General features: G+C 40.5%; 1 pseudogene, 1 gene segment (V, D, J or C) and 1 further gene, besides 7 other annotated features; all 3 read right to left on the bottom strand.

Moving 5' to 3' along the window:
- Positions 1-15,292, bottom strand: part of TRB (T cell receptor beta locus) — a 514,277-nt gene that overhangs the window by 203,637 nt on the left and 295,348 nt on the right.
- Positions 7,252-7,260: a recombination feature (RSS_nonamer).
- Positions 7,261-7,283: a recombination feature (RSS_spacer).
- Positions 7,284-7,290: a recombination feature (RSS_heptamer).
- On the bottom strand, positions 7,291-8,023 carry TRBV17 (T cell receptor beta variable 17 (non-functional)). The segment is given in 2 exon segments: positions 7,291-7,585; positions 7,975-8,023. Coding segments are annotated over 2 exon segments (344 nt in total), but the record flags the coding sequence as incomplete, so codon positions are not given.
- Positions 11,143-11,151: a recombination feature (RSS_nonamer).
- Positions 11,152-11,174: a recombination feature (RSS_spacer).
- Positions 11,175-11,181: a recombination feature (RSS_heptamer).
- TRBV16 (T cell receptor beta variable 16) lies at positions 11,182-11,635 on the bottom strand (annotated as a pseudogene). Its single transcript is given in 2 exon segments — positions 11,182-11,479; positions 11,587-11,635. Coding segments are annotated over 2 exon segments (347 nt in total).
- Position 11,379, bottom strand: a sequence feature (variation - t at this position converts a stop into tyrosine.).

The raw sequence follows: 15,292 nt of genomic DNA, 5'->3' as shown, positions 1-15,292 counted from the left end.
GTTGCTTTTGACAACTTTGTCTAATATATAGATGACTTAATTATTTTCTGGCTCAATAATATGAAAAGATCATTTTTGAAATCAAAAGAAAATTTAAAATCTTTGGATTCTCTATGGCTTAATTTTAAGCTACTTTTCTTGACTTCACCCCTAATGATATTACACTGTGCTCCGGTTTTGCTGAGCCCATGTGTGCCTTCCCACTTCAGTGACTGTCCTGCTCCCCACTCTGCCTAAACCTTCATTTTCTAATTCCAATATCATTGGAAGAATCATTCAAAGTTGCTTTAAAACATTCTTTTCTGCCAATATTCTTGGTTTTCACCTCTAACTCTGAGCAAATGGAGCACTTTCTTTATGTCTATCTTATGGGATTTCCCTCAGCCTCTACCACTTCTGTTTAAGTGTATGTGCATGTGTGTGTGTATGTGTGTGTGTATCTGTCTGTCTTTCTTCCCACTAAATGGTATGTTCCTAGAAGGGAAAGTCTTATTCTTCTTTGTGTTGTTAATAACATTTATCATAGTCCCTGATGTGGAGGAGCTATTATTTAATAACTCTCTAAATTAATTAAATTTCCTATTAGTCAAGATTGAGTTTATCCTCCCTAAAATTTCTAAGCAAGTTAACCACAAAAAATACAAATCATTTTTCTCTCTTTCCTGCTTCATCATTCTTCCTTTAGCTGAGAAGTTACTTGAGTGCTTATAATATAATTGCACGGGTCTGGGGCTACTGGGTCTTCTCAAGAGCTCTAAGATTGATATGTACACCTGTTCTACTAGATAACTGAAGCCAGGATAATTTCCTATTGCAACCAGGTGATTGCATCACTCTGAGTAGCTGGTATTGTAGGGGTAACTTGCAGAGTCATTTTAGGCAGCAGATATTTTGCTGTGAATAAATGTATTAGCCTCAGGCAGACTGACTACAAATCCTTGGAAATTACTTTTTCTGATTAATCATTTTACTCTAAGCAGCTATAAGCAAGCTGTGGCCCCATCTCTAGATTTATCAATACCACAATATGAGACATTCCTCAATGTCTTCCCAAACTTGTCTCATTCTCAACTTCTGATTGGATATTGTCGTTTCTAGGTGACTGAAAGTGAAAAAAAGACAGGAACTGAGGAAAGGGCAAAAGAGCGAGCCTAATGATGCAGCCATCAGTGAAAAACTGCAAGCCAGGTCCCAGAACACCTGAAACTGGAATGCCCCACCTGCTCCCAGTAGAAAAGGCCACTAACAAAGAATCTGGGGCCTAGGGCAGGACCAGTAGGTATGTCCTATAAATAAGGGAGAGAGCTTATGTCTGTCTCTCTGTGGTTTCTCCACCCCAACCCAAATAGCCTGGCACATCACAGTCCCTACATTAGCTCCTCCCTGTCAAGAAACCCCACCTCCTGTGCAGCCTAAGTCAGATGTCAGAAATAGTCAGGCCGGGCGTGGTGGCTCACGCCTGTAATCCCAGCACTTTGGGAGGCCGAGGTGGGCGGATCACGAGGTCAGGAGATGGAGACCATCCTGGTTACCACGGTGAAACCCGGTCTCTACTAAAAGTACATAAAATTAGCCGGGCATGGTAGTGGGCGCCTGTAGTCCCAGCTACTCGGGAGGCTGAGGCAGGAGAATGGCGTAAACCCGGGAGGCAGAGCTTGCAGTGAGCCGAGATCGTGCCACTGCACTCCATCCAGCCTGGGAGACAGAGCGACACTCTGTCTCAAAAGAAAAGAAAAGAAAAGAAATAGTCAAAACAGCCTCTCCACTAAATCCTAAGTATCTGAAGCTAGGTCTTAAGCATTGGCACTTTGTGTCTACTCATCATCAATCAAAATATCTATGGCAGGTCACCATGGCAACTGTTCAATCTCATGCCAACCTTCCCAAGTGTCAAAATTTCTGCTTAGCCACAAGCAATGACACTAGCATTTGCCTACAGTATTGACAAGTTTGGTGGCCACTGTATAGCAAGAAGACATAATGTGCTGTGTTCAGACCTCTGGGAACTGTTCTTATTCTTGTCTTTCTCCACATAATTTGTAGTTTGTCTTCCCGCAGTATTTCTGTACCTTTCAGCTTCCTATTTTCAACTTCCATTAGTCATCCTTTAGCTGTCGTGCCCCTGGGCTTTTTCTCTCTGCTTGTTCTAGTTCCTTTCTCATTCTTTAAAAAAAAAAAAAAAAGTATATATATGTATACACACACACACACACACACATTTTTTTAAATTTTTGTTGTTGTTGTTGTTGTTGTTGTTTTTGAGAGGGAGTCTCACTCTGTCGCCCAGGCTGGAGTGCAGTAGCATGATCCTCAGCTCACTGCAAGCTCCGCCTCCTGGGTTAATGCCATTCTCCTGCCTCAGCCTCCCGAGTAGCTGGGACTACCGGCGCCCGCCGCTACGCCCGACTAATTTTTTGTATTTTTCAGTAGAGATGGGGTTTCACCATGTTAGCCAGGATGGTCTTGATTTCCCGCCTCGTGATCCGCCCGCCTCAGCCTCCCAAAGTGCTGGGATTACAGGCGTGAGCCACCGCACCCAGCCTTAAAATATATATATATTTTAATTTTTATTCTTTTTTGAAAATTTCTTATTTTTTTTTTAAATTTTTAGAGACAGGGTCTCATTCTGTTACCCAGGCTGGAGTTCGGTGGCATGACCATATCTCACTGCAGCCTCGAACTCCTGGGATCAAGCAACCCTCCTGCCTCAGTTTCCCGAGTAGCTAGAACTATAGGTGTCAGCCAGTGCACCCAGCCCTTTGCCATTCTTAATTCAACATGATGATAGTAGAGCAAATCGAATTAAATAAAATCCCTGATTACAAAAGCCAGCTCTACAATTGGCTTAGTGTTCATCCTGCACTTACCCTCCTTAAACTTCAATTTCTTTGTTAGTAAAACAGGGATAAATAACATAATTTTGGGTTGCTGGTATGGATGAAATGAAATACCATATGTGAAATATCTAGCATGGTACTTCACGTATAGCAATATCCTGCCTAGTTTTTTCTCCCTCTTAAAGCCCATACCACCTCTAATGAATATTATAATATGTTCTTCTAGGAGATTATTGAGCTGATTTAACATAACTGTTGTGATGATACACTACGTTTGCTTAGAAAGAAATTAAGGTCATTCTTGTAATTTTACTAGAAAAAAGTTATTGCTTCATTTCCAATCTTTGCCATGAAACATACAGTTGTGAGACATTGGACCAATTATTACTCTTTCTGAGCCTATAAAATTGGGGATAATAACACCTACACGAATAGTTCTCTTATTCACAATTAAGGGAACAAGTCCCATGTAGCATATGGTCACAGTATCAGCATATGTTGACCACATATGGTAATTTTGACATTTATGCTGATATTGTCTGGCACGGCTGGGTTGACTGAAGCAGAATGACATCTCTGGACAGATCTCTTTCCTCTTGGATGGAACAAGCAAGAGAAATGCACACTCGTTGTTTGTAGTAGATTTGGAAGGTATCGCACAGTATCTGGGGGTAATGACAGAATAACCAGTCATGGAGTTGCTTCTGTCAGTGGTCCAGTAAGAGCCAAACCGTGAAACTCAACAAAAAGCTGAAGCACAGCAATCCTAAATAATAACACCTCATAATATTAGGCCAAACCTATGTATATTAGCGTTTGAGTTTTAGGCACCACACTAGGGATTTTCATGAATTATCTTATTTAACCCAATACTATCAGGTAGGTATTATTATTATTATTATTATTATTATTATTATTGAGACAGAGTTTCACTCTTGTCATCCAGGATGGAGTGTAATGGTGCAATCTTGGCTCACCACAACCTCCGCTTCCCGAGTTCAAGAGATTCTCCTGTCTTAGCCTCCTGAGTAGCTGGGATTACAGGTATGTGCCACCACGCCCAGCTAATTTTGTATTTTTAGTCGAGACAGGGTTTCTCCATGTTGGTCAGGCTGGTCTCGAACTCCCAACCTGGGATGATCCACCCACCTCGGCCTCCCAAAATGCTGGGATTTACAGGCATGAGCCACTGTGCTCAGCCTCAGGTAGGTACTATTATCTTCATTTTAGAGGTGAGGAAGTGAGGCATAGAGAGGTTCACAGTCTTGCTCACGTTCACATAGCATTTGAGCAGAGGAGCCAGAATTGTGGTCTGCATTGTTTGATTCCAGAGCCTACACTTTTAACTATCACCTTCTAGTGACCCATGGCAGGCAGCATCACATACCTGGGTGGGCAGTGGACATTTGAACGTCTTCTTGCGGCATCCAGGATGAGACTTAACGCTGTGAACACAGATAGTTCCTTTGAGAGAAAGGTATTTCTTTAATCATGAGTAAGTAGGGGTCAAAGACTATACCTATCAGACAGAAGTCACATTGTCCAAGACATTAGGTGGAAGATCACTAATCTTGTTATATATTACGCATGTTGAAGGGACATTTTTATTACGTATGGAAAATATATAACTTTTTTATTATTTATGAAAATATATGTGAAACATATAAAACATGCCAAGGTGGACATGAAAGATGTTTCTATAATTCTGAGGATTTCCAAGGCAGTCAATAAAGATGCCTTCATTAAGGGAGTTATCACTGAATAGGGAAATATTTTAAGAGACCAAACAGAAGGCACAGGTTGGGAAAGAATCAAGTAAGAGAGACAGGAAGAAAATTTGGTTCAAATGATGGGCACTGGCGGAAGGGGAGAGAGAAAGGGGCTGGCCTTGTTATGAAAGCCCATCTGGGAAGAGCAGGAGCTCAAAAGCTCAGAGAACCTGGAAACATATAATTAAAGCATGAAAATAAAACAACAAATTACTCAGTAAACTGTAGAGTGTTAAATGAACATGAGGTATTTTTACAGCCAATGACATTGTTGGCAGGGTGCGCAGGAGACTAGAGAGAAGAGGGTGGATTTCTCCGGAAGGCCAATAAATGTATAACAATTCTTTTATCCTATTTCACTTTTATTACTTATTTTACCCCGTTGTCACTGGCATGTGGTGACATTTATGTATTAGTAGATGAATGAGGGAAAGTCAATGTCGCTTGGTTTTCTTCACAGAGAAAATAGGTCTGGAAATATCCTGGTAGGTTTATTAGCAGGTAGGAATTGGGAAACGTTGGAACACATTGAGAGGCAGTGGGTGCTGGGCAGACAGTGACAGAAGCACTACGAAGACCAAGCTGAGTTTTTAAGTTGAGGCTTCATACACCATATATCGCTAATACAAACTGTAAGTAGGGCTGAGATATATTTAAATAGTAAAATGACAAAAAGCAGACCAATGCTATAGCTTCGTGTTTATTTATTCTATAATTTAAAAAATCTATTTCATTAAACCGAAACAAAGAAATGAAGGTACTGCAACATTAATAAACAATTTACTTTCAACAGAGATGCTATCATTTGTGTCATTATCTACAATGACCGTATAGTTTAATGTTCAAATTGAGACACTTTTGTATGTGAAAGAGGATACTATTAATTATGACAGGACAACAAGACTAAACCGTGATTGCGTGGTAAATCATGACTGCGCGGTAAATAAATCATGAGGTCCCCTCCCCAGACTTTCTAACACGTTCCTTTACTGCCATCTAGCAGCAGTGGAGGGGATTGCAGGAAATGTATAATACTTTCACAAACCACATTTCAAATTAGCTTCAAAGTTATGGTATATAGGGGTGATCTATAATGTTCCTTGCAATCAGATAGTCTCTGGATCTGTGTTATCTGCATATGTAATTATGTTCATATTTTCCAGCTTGTAGTGATGTCTTCCATCGCAACCCTGATTGTCACATGTGTAAAATAGCTGTAGATAGATAAATAGATAAATATTATAAATACATATATTTATATATTATTTATATATAATAATATATAAACACATATATTTATATATTATTTATATATAATAATATATAAACACATATATTTATATATTATTTATATATAATAATATATAAACACATATATTTATATATTAATACTTATATATAAATATATATAAGTATTTGTATTTATATATAAATATATATTTATATATATATTTATATATAAATATATATTTATATATATATTTATATATAAATATATATTTATATATATATTTATATATAAATGTATAAAATACATTTATATATAAGTATTTATATATACTTATATAGAAAATGTATTTTTTATATTTGTATTAAAATTTACATAAAATATATTTGCATATATTTATATATCTCTTATGTGATATAAGTATATCAATAAATATATATTATTGATATAAATTTATATAAAATGTTATAAATTTTATGTTTTTATTAAATATAAATATATTTATGTTAAATGTATACATAAATATTCTAATATTTGTATAAATAAATAAATAGCAAGTCAAATAATCATATTTGTATCAGATCTTAGAGACTAAGTGGAGCAAGTCTCTAATTTTGAAGAGGAGGACACTGAGTCCCAGAGAAGTAAGAGCATTTGCCAAGATTTCACAGCTGAAGGGGAGTAAACAAAACCAGTTTTGGGATTAGAAAGCAATTTTTCTGACTCTAATTCCAGTGTCTGTGAGTCTAGGGCCTGCAAGAGAGAGAGAGGAACAGATGAGTGTTTGAAGTAACAGAATAAAACGTCGCGCTCCCCTGGGCAGCTGTGTGAGGAACTGAATGTGCTAGGACAGTCCCCGAGTGGGGATTTTAGTCAGTGTTTCTCTGGCATCCATCCCCTAAGAGGGTCGTGTTGCCGTCTGCCTTGCGGTTTGGTTTAGTCACTGACCTCCAGGGAAAGTTGGTCTTATTGAAGAGATGGATCTGCAGTAGTCAACAGGCTGTTCCATAAATGTACATGTCATTGCCTCTGCTGGGGTACGTTGGTGGGGGAAGAGTTTGCAGGAGAACTGTGTTTGAGATAAAATCAGTAGGAATGTTTTTGTGTTTTGGTAAGTAATATCAACCTCAGATAGCTGGTCTCTGAACTTGGAAATTGGTCTGGGGCCCTTCCTTCTAAACATGTGGATTCCTCCTGATCCACAGAATGTCTCATTTTGTATTTGGGTAGTTTCAGGAGCCCATTGTCCAGTGTGCCCATCATGACCATTTAAGACCTTAATTCATGGTCTTGTACTCTCCCGGTAGCAGCTGCAGCCACAACAATCAACTCGCTTCTTTCTTCTGGGGTAGGAAGATAAGGAAGAGGCTTTTTCAAATGTTTTCTTGGAGTTCAACTGGGAGAAGAGCAGCCAGAGGGTTTGCACCCTGGAGGGAACTGACTCAGCCATGCAGTGCCACCGCTACTGTAGAGATACACGGCTGAGTCCCTCGGCTCTGCGGGATGGATCTTCAGTGTGGAAGACGTTCCGTTAGGTCTTTCAGCTGTGAATCGTTCCTTGGGCATCCCTGAATCAACTGCAATGTTTTGGTACTGGAAGGAAATCAGCAACTTCATTTCTTGCCTCAGATTCTGTCGGTACCAGTGAACAAACATGTGACCAGAAGATGGATCGCACCTCAGAATCACCTCCTGTCCCATGTTGGTGACCTTGTGTCTGGGGGTCTGGCTGACTCCAGGCTCCGAGTGTCCTGTGGAAGAAGACGGAAGCCATAGAAGGTGAAGGGAAGCCCAAAGAAAACATCTTTTTTTTTTGAGATAGGGTCTCTCTGTGTTGCCCAGGCTGGAGTGAAATGTCGTGATCTCTGCTCACTGCAGCCTCTACCTCCCAGATTCAAGTGATCCTCCCACCTCAGCCTCCCAAGTAGCTGGGACTACAGGAGCACACTACCACGCCTGGCTAATTTTTGTATTTTTTGGTAGAGAAGGTGTTTCACCACGTTGACCAGGCTGGTCTCGAACTCTTGACCTCTGGTGATCTACTCACCTCAACCTCCCAAAAAGGTGGGATTACGGCTGTGAGCCACCACGCCCAGCCAAAAACATCTTTATGCAAATGTTTAAGTATACCTGGACCCACCTGCCGCCAAGAGACACAGGGTCACCCAGCAGAGGAGCCAGATATCCATGGTGAGGTCAGGCAGTGCAAGACACTCCCAGCGATGGGTTCTGATGTGCAGTAGCAAAGAGCAGTGAAAGTTCTGGGTTCCCTTGGCCGCATGATGTAGGATCTGGCCATGACATCATGTCCCCAGCAACACCCACAACCTCAGGGCACCTTCCATAGGAGATGGGGATCCTTGGTTCAAATATTTGGCCTCATCCTTATTTTGCTACATGGACGATGTTAAACAAGGCTCCAATCCCACTTGCAGGTGCTTAGGAAAGTTGAAGATTAAGGAAAACATAAGAGGAAGTGGAAAAGGAAAGAGAAGAAAGTGAGAATAAAAAAATGAAGAACAAAATTTTAAAGCACTACAGAAGATTTGCGATGTTATTAATCTTACGAAGTCCTTGGGGCAGAACTTCAGCACTAACAGAAATACTCAGGAGCAATGATACGTATTCCTAAAGTCCACCAACAAGAAATTTCGACTCTGAAATTCTGAACCTGTCCTAGAATATACCTGTTTAACCCATGCCTCAGGTGACACTGAGAAAAGTTGTCTCAGACCACATTTCACAATTTTTTCTTTTCTTTTCTTTTTTTTTTTTTTTTGAGATGGAGTCTCTCTCCATTGCCCAGGCTGGAGCACAGTGGTGCAGTCTCAGCTCACTGCAACCTCCGCCTCCAAGTTTCAAGCGATTCTCCTGCCTCAGCCTCCTGAGTAGCTGGGATTACAGGCTCCCGCCACCATGCCTGGCTAATTTTCATATCCAAAATTTTTTCAGTAGAGATTTTTAAAAGGCTAAACAACAACAACAAAAAACTTTCCCATTAAACTAGAATATTACACTTTAAATAGAATGAGAAGAATTTTCCTGGGAAAAAGAATATTAAATGGATAGATTTAGTTTCTGGGAGCTGCATTGAAAACAAAAAGAATAGAGAGAAAATGAGAAACTAGTTGAAAATGATGTAAATGAAACTGAGCAAAAATTAATGCTCAGGACTTAGGGCATGGTCAGTATTGTCAAGAGCTTCAAAGAGATCAAGCAGGCAAAGAAACACACATGCGTCTTTTGGTCTGGGAAATACGTAATTTTAATCTTTAGGAGAACAGTTTTGGTAGAATGGAAATATTTCAAGAAAAAGCTGAAGATAGCATCTAGAGGAGTGACTTCCCTGTGACAAAAGCAAAGATGTAGACCACCAACAGCAAGACTGGGCTTGAGGGGGACCGAGAACAGAACGCTAAGGAACACTCACTTCTGGAGAGCGGGAAAAGGAACTTAAAATGAGAAGGTATAATATTAAATAGATCAGAAAAATGATAAAGTGAGAACTTCTGTTTCCAGGAGTCACAGTAAATTTTTTTCCCAAGAAAAGAAGTAACTTTGGACTTCTGGAAGTAAGACAACTGGGTTCAACTTATACTGAAATAAGAGCAGATGTAACTGGAGAGAATAAAGGAACTTCTCTCAAAGCGAATGCTAGGTGGTGACCAGATCTGTGAACAGAATGGATTATCAAATTTTAACAGAGTTATTTTGAATTCTATAACTGCTCAACATAAGTGTAGTCTCCTGCCTAGGTACAGTTGATACCATAATGCCTCATTAGGAATATTGATGTTGAGTACATTGCCCCTCATTACAATTTGAATCATATACCTGAAGATCTTTTAATTCTCTGTGCATTAATATGTTTTACACCAAGAGTACATTAATCTGTTCTCCTTCAGTGCCATAGAGGCCAATTAGTGAATTTGTAGGATCTGAAGTTGTCACACTTAAAATGAACATGCTTTTTGTGTTATCTAGGTTTAATTTCTTTTTATTCCTTCTATTTTATTTATTTATTTATTGTTTTGAGACAGAGTTTCGCTCTTGTTGCCCAGGCTAGAGTGCAGTGGTGCGCTCTCGGCTCACCACAACCTCCCCCTCCCAGGTTCAAGCAATTCTTCAGCCTCAGCCTCCTAAGTAGCTGGGATTACAGGCATGTGCCACCACACCTGGCTAATTTTGTATTTTTAGTAGGGATGGGGTTTCTTCATGTTGGTCAGGCTGATCTTGAACTCCCAACCTCAGGTGATCTGCTTGCTTTGGCCTTCCAAAGTGCTGGGATTATAGCCGTGAGCCACCACACCTGGCCGGTTTAATTTCTTAAAGAGAGATTAACCAGACTCTTTACGTGGTCTGATATTGTTCTAAATAATAAGGTTTTGATCCCCTCTCCAAACTCTTCTCTTTTCCCAAGGTCTCTATATTCCAGAAAATGTATTATCCCCAACTTCTCACTTGTGATGGGTGCCTATTGGATGTTCTGACTGGATTCCACCCCTTGAAATCCTTGGTCCACAAGGTCAGAGGGACAGACTCCCAGATACTATCTTGTTCAAAATAATTCAATTCCCTTGGATTTCCACGAGCCCATTCTTGAGTAAAGCAGGATCACATTTTTTCCCCCTGCACCCTGGATTTGTAATCTAGCATGAGAGAAAGTCACGTTGGTCTCAATTGACTGGAGGGCTAACACCTAAATCTGCAATTTTCTAATCACTGTAAGACCTAAGAAACAGAAAAGACAACTTATAATAAAAGAATGAGGCCGACAAGGTATATAAAAAATGAGTTGTCAATCAGCCATGCCATGGTTCTAAGGTTTTTTTTTGTTTTTTGTTTTTTTGAGATGGAGTCTCGTTCTGTCGTCCAGGCTGGAGTGCAGTGGCACGATCTCGGCTCACTGCAAGCTCCGCCTCCCGGTTCACGCCATTCTCCTGCCTCAGCCTCCCGAGTAGCGAGTAGCTGGGACTACAGGCGCCCACCACTAGGCCCGGCTATTTTTTTTTTTTTTTTTTTTTAGTAGAGACAGGGTTTCACCGTGTTAGTCAGGATGGTCTTGATCTCCTGACTTTGTGATCCTCCCGCCTCGGCCTCCCAAAGCTCTGGGATTACAGGCGCGAGCCACCGGTTCTAAGGTTTCATTGCAGTTTATTTCTGGGAAGTTCCTGTGTTCTTGCTTTGTGGTTCTATGGGACATACATTTAGCCTTATAATACATTCCCCTTTGGCTTAAGCTAGCTCTAGTTTCTGTTATTTCCTTCCAACCTAGTATACCACCTGCTTCCTGAGCTGAGTCCGTGATGAGTCTGTGTCCTAAGATTAGCTAATATTTAACACTGTGGATTGGCTGCTGGCACAAAAATACACTGCTGAATCCTCAAGCTTCGTAGCCTGGATCTCAAGGCTACAGGGTGAATTTGGGAGGCACTTAGCTGAAAATCTTTCCTTGGGCATACCTGTTTCATCAAAGACATTTTCATTCTGGAAGGAAATCAAGAACTTGAACTCGTTTTTCAGGACCTGTTGGTACCAAAAAACATAACTGTGTCCTTTTATTGGGGCACAATATAATTTTGCTTTCTGTCCTTCCCCTCTGACAAGATGTTTTGGAGTCTGGGCGACTTCTTCACCAGGAGAACCTGTAAAGAAAGCAGACAGGAGTTGGAGACTGAGCCCATGAGGGAGTTCGATGACATGGATGAAAGGCTTAGAGCAGGGAGCTGACAACTGCAGAACAGGGACTTACCTGCAGCCAGCAGACAAAGGATTGTGATGCAGGTGAATATTGGGCTCATGGCAGAATTAGGGGAAGAGCAGGCAGCACAGGCAGCTGGCTATCTGTGTGGCTCTCTCCACCTCTGTCGGCGGCTTCTCTGTGACGTGATCACTTTGTAGAATCCAATTGCCTTTAGCATCCTGCTCTATACAAGTAACACAAATTAAGAGAATATGTGAAACAATTGTATTCAGCCACTGGAAAGCAGACAGCACAGGACTGGGATTCTGCCAAAACACCAAAACATGGGGGCAATTTCTGCACATACACAGTGGGGAAGAGAGCAACAGAGCATGGCAAATTTTGAGTTGCGGAAACAGGTTACAAAATCAGCGGGGGCTGAGGCAGCTAGAATTTTTAAGGAAAGACCACCAGAGAGGAGGAAGCTGCACAAGAACTCCAGATGTCTGGAGGAATTATCTTAATTTTTTGGCTAAACAGTAAACTGTGTCTGTGTAGGAAAAAGCTTTAAAAGGCATTGGAGAGAAACCCCAGAAAGGCTTCACTGGCATCCACAGAATGGCCATGCTCTAGTAATGAGACAAAATTAGGCTAGAGCAGGAGTTGGTGAACTACAGCCCACGGTCTGGACACCTATTTCTGTAAACTGTTTTATGGGCAGGGGGCAGGAGGGGAAAAGTAGTCCAGAATGGCCTCATGAGGAGCTTTGAATACCCTCTCCCCAGAGAAAAAGACATAACTGCTGAAAATTTAAAAACAACCATTGTGGATCTCTGAAAATTCGTGAGTCACGATCAATTACCTGAATCTGACCTTGGGTTAATACTTCTTGGCCTCTTAGGGAGCTGGAAACATCTACTGTTGTTAATCTCTATAGGTGGTGATGTAAAAAATGATTCTATAGTAGGGATATCTGCATTGTCTTTCAAAATTAAAATGAGGATGAGGGCACATTCATTCTCATCCTCTGAAACTGACAATCTATAGTTAGGAGGTACCAATTGTTTCTTATACTCGTGAACCTTATGCACTCAAACATCCATTTTTCCAATCCATCATTATAAGTATTTCAGCCCACTAAAGGCCATAAGATACTGGCTTTTAGAAAGCTATTCTGGTGGATTTCAGAAATCCTGTTTCTTCTGAACAAGGCTGTGGTACTTTATATTTTGTATTACTATTAAAAATTTAAGTCAGACTCTAATAATTTTAATATATCTTCTAAAGCACCGCATCTAACTTTTAATAAGTCCTATTTATATGCCACATAAGTGGTTCATCAACAGATTTATATTAGGGAAAATATCTGTATATAATTGTAAATATAATTGTAAATAATGCATGATCCAGGCAATTTATTTGTCTTAAATTCTGGCACAAAGTTTTAGCAGTTCTAATTTTCCTACTTGATAAGAAAACTGCGAGACTGCACCAATGTTCCTATGAGGGAAGTTTCTTCTCTTTCTTAGGGCATGGATTCATGAGAGTGAGGTTCTGTCTTGTCCAGTTTTGCCCTTAAATGCAAAGAGCTATACAGCTATAGGATTCCTTACAAGTCTAGAGGATCACAGATGTCTGCCAGACTGGGTTTGCACTGGCCAGTGTTAAGGTAACAGGTTCCTTCTTATCCAGAGTCGTACTGTTCTCATCACATACATCTCTTTGGTTTATAAATTCCAGGAGTTTAAAACAAGTCTCTCTGGTTTGTTTATTACCTTATTTCCAGAACCGGAAACAAGGTCTGTTATACAGGAGTTCCTAAATACATATTTGCTGAACAAATGGCACAAGAATGAACATCAGTAGGCAGTCTAAGTCCTGAGTCTTGTTTACAGCATTGTAAGTTTCATCACTCACATCTGAGTGTCACCTCTGTTTCTGTCTCTGTGATTAGGATATCCACAGAGTCTGTGGGACTAGAGTGTAGGAGCAGGGGCTAGAGAGGAAAATGGGGGTGAATATTGGACTACCAGAGGAAGGTGTGGAAACAGACTACAGTGTGAGTGCCCAAGGCAGACAGACTATCTACGCCCAGGACTCACTGCCCTCAGGAGGCAGAGGGACTCATAGCAGAGGAACCTGGTGCCATAGGCAGGCTTAGAGCAGCAGTGGGGCCTCAAGCTTTAGAGATCTAAAGGCTTTGCCTCCAAATTCTGTGTGTTGTTTCTATTTTGTCTCTGTTACCTACGGCTCTCTAAAACCCTGCACATATTTGCTTGGCAAGAAATTGGCAAGTTTTTAAGGATCAAAGAGGGGTCTCAGACTCTCAGATAAGATAAAATAAAACAGGGTTAGTTTTTCTAGGTTGAACTAATGTGTTGTCAGCACTAACAGCATACCTCAGAGAGTATACAGGTGACTAGTTCATGTCTATCCTTAATGAGGAAGGCAGGCAGGCAGGAAGAAAGGAAAGAAGGAAGGAGGGAAGATTGAGAAGGACAAGAGAGGAATCAATTTTTTTTTTGAACCTGAGCTTCTTCTGGAAAGACAGGCTTTATGCAGGTCGTATAAATTGATCATCTCTAAATAGTATGGTTCTAAATTGTGTGGTTCATACAGAAGAACCATGAAAAGGTCTAAGCCAGCCTCTAGCTAAATCCAGGGTTCTAGTCCCAGTGGTGAAAGTGCTAAACCTGTAAGTCTCTTATCTCCCAGTTGGGCGGGGATGGGGTGGGTGTATATCTGTGATACCACCACACATACCCACTCTCGGATTCCAAGTGTCATTTTTGACATAGTCAGGTTGCAGTTTATGGTGACCCTTTCCTCGTATCTCACAGCCTTCTGGACTGCATGTTGTGCCAGTCTGGATAAAGGATGCTCTACAGCTTCTCTCACCACTCTTGGAGGCAGCTGATTTTCTGCCCGCACCTGCCCCCTGAACATCCTGTCACTTTTTCATCCATGTTCCATCCCCATAGGCTCCCTCCCATGCATATAACCATGATTCAAAGTTTACTACTTGAGGAAAACACTTCAGCATCTCTGCAAGTTAAAGAGTTTATGTTTAATTTCTCATCCTCTAAGGGAGACTCATTCATCTTTAAATGATCCCTTGGGATCAAGATTTAAGTTCTGCATTTTTTACCCTTCATCCTCCCAGGTTTAACCCAAAGACCTTCTTTCTCTATGTTGGTCCTCGGTGCAACTCAAAGCTAGTCAACCAGTGAAGCATAGTCACAAGGGCTCACCCTCTGGCCAAGACCCAAAGAAAAGCCAGTGCAATGTTGGTGAGAGTGTGGAAATCTTCTGGCTTATAACCATTTACCTTCCTATCTGAAGGTCTGACTTAGAATCCATGTAAACTCCGAAGACAGAATGAGCTCCAGCAGTAAATTGTCTACATTTTGATACTGGCTCCACCACAAACGAGATACGTGATAAAGGGCTAGTTACTTGTCTGTGTCTCAGTTTCCTCATGGATAAATGAGTGAGGTTACTATAGTATTAACTTTCTGAGGTTGTTATAAAACTAACATGAACTATAAATATATGTGAAGAAGACTTAAGGTCTAGCATGTAATATGTGCTTAGTAAATGTTAGCTATCATTATGTTATTAATATCATTAAAGCAAACAATTTGTAAAAGCTCTTTTGTAATAGGTCTTGTCATATTTTTCCTAGATTATCTTAATTTAATGTGCAAAATTTTACATTTTTAGATAGCCATATAACTATATTTTCTGCTTTTTTTTCTCAGAATATCGTTCTCAT

Source organism: Homo sapiens, chromosome 7 (genome assembly GCF_000001405.40).
Source record: "Homo sapiens chromosome 7, GRCh38.p14 Primary Assembly".
In the NCBI taxonomy this organism is placed as follows: domain Eukaryota; kingdom Metazoa; phylum Chordata; class Mammalia; order Primates; family Hominidae; genus Homo; species Homo sapiens.
Note: the sequence above shows the minus strand (reverse complement) of the source record. Positions and strands in the feature narration are given on the sequence as shown.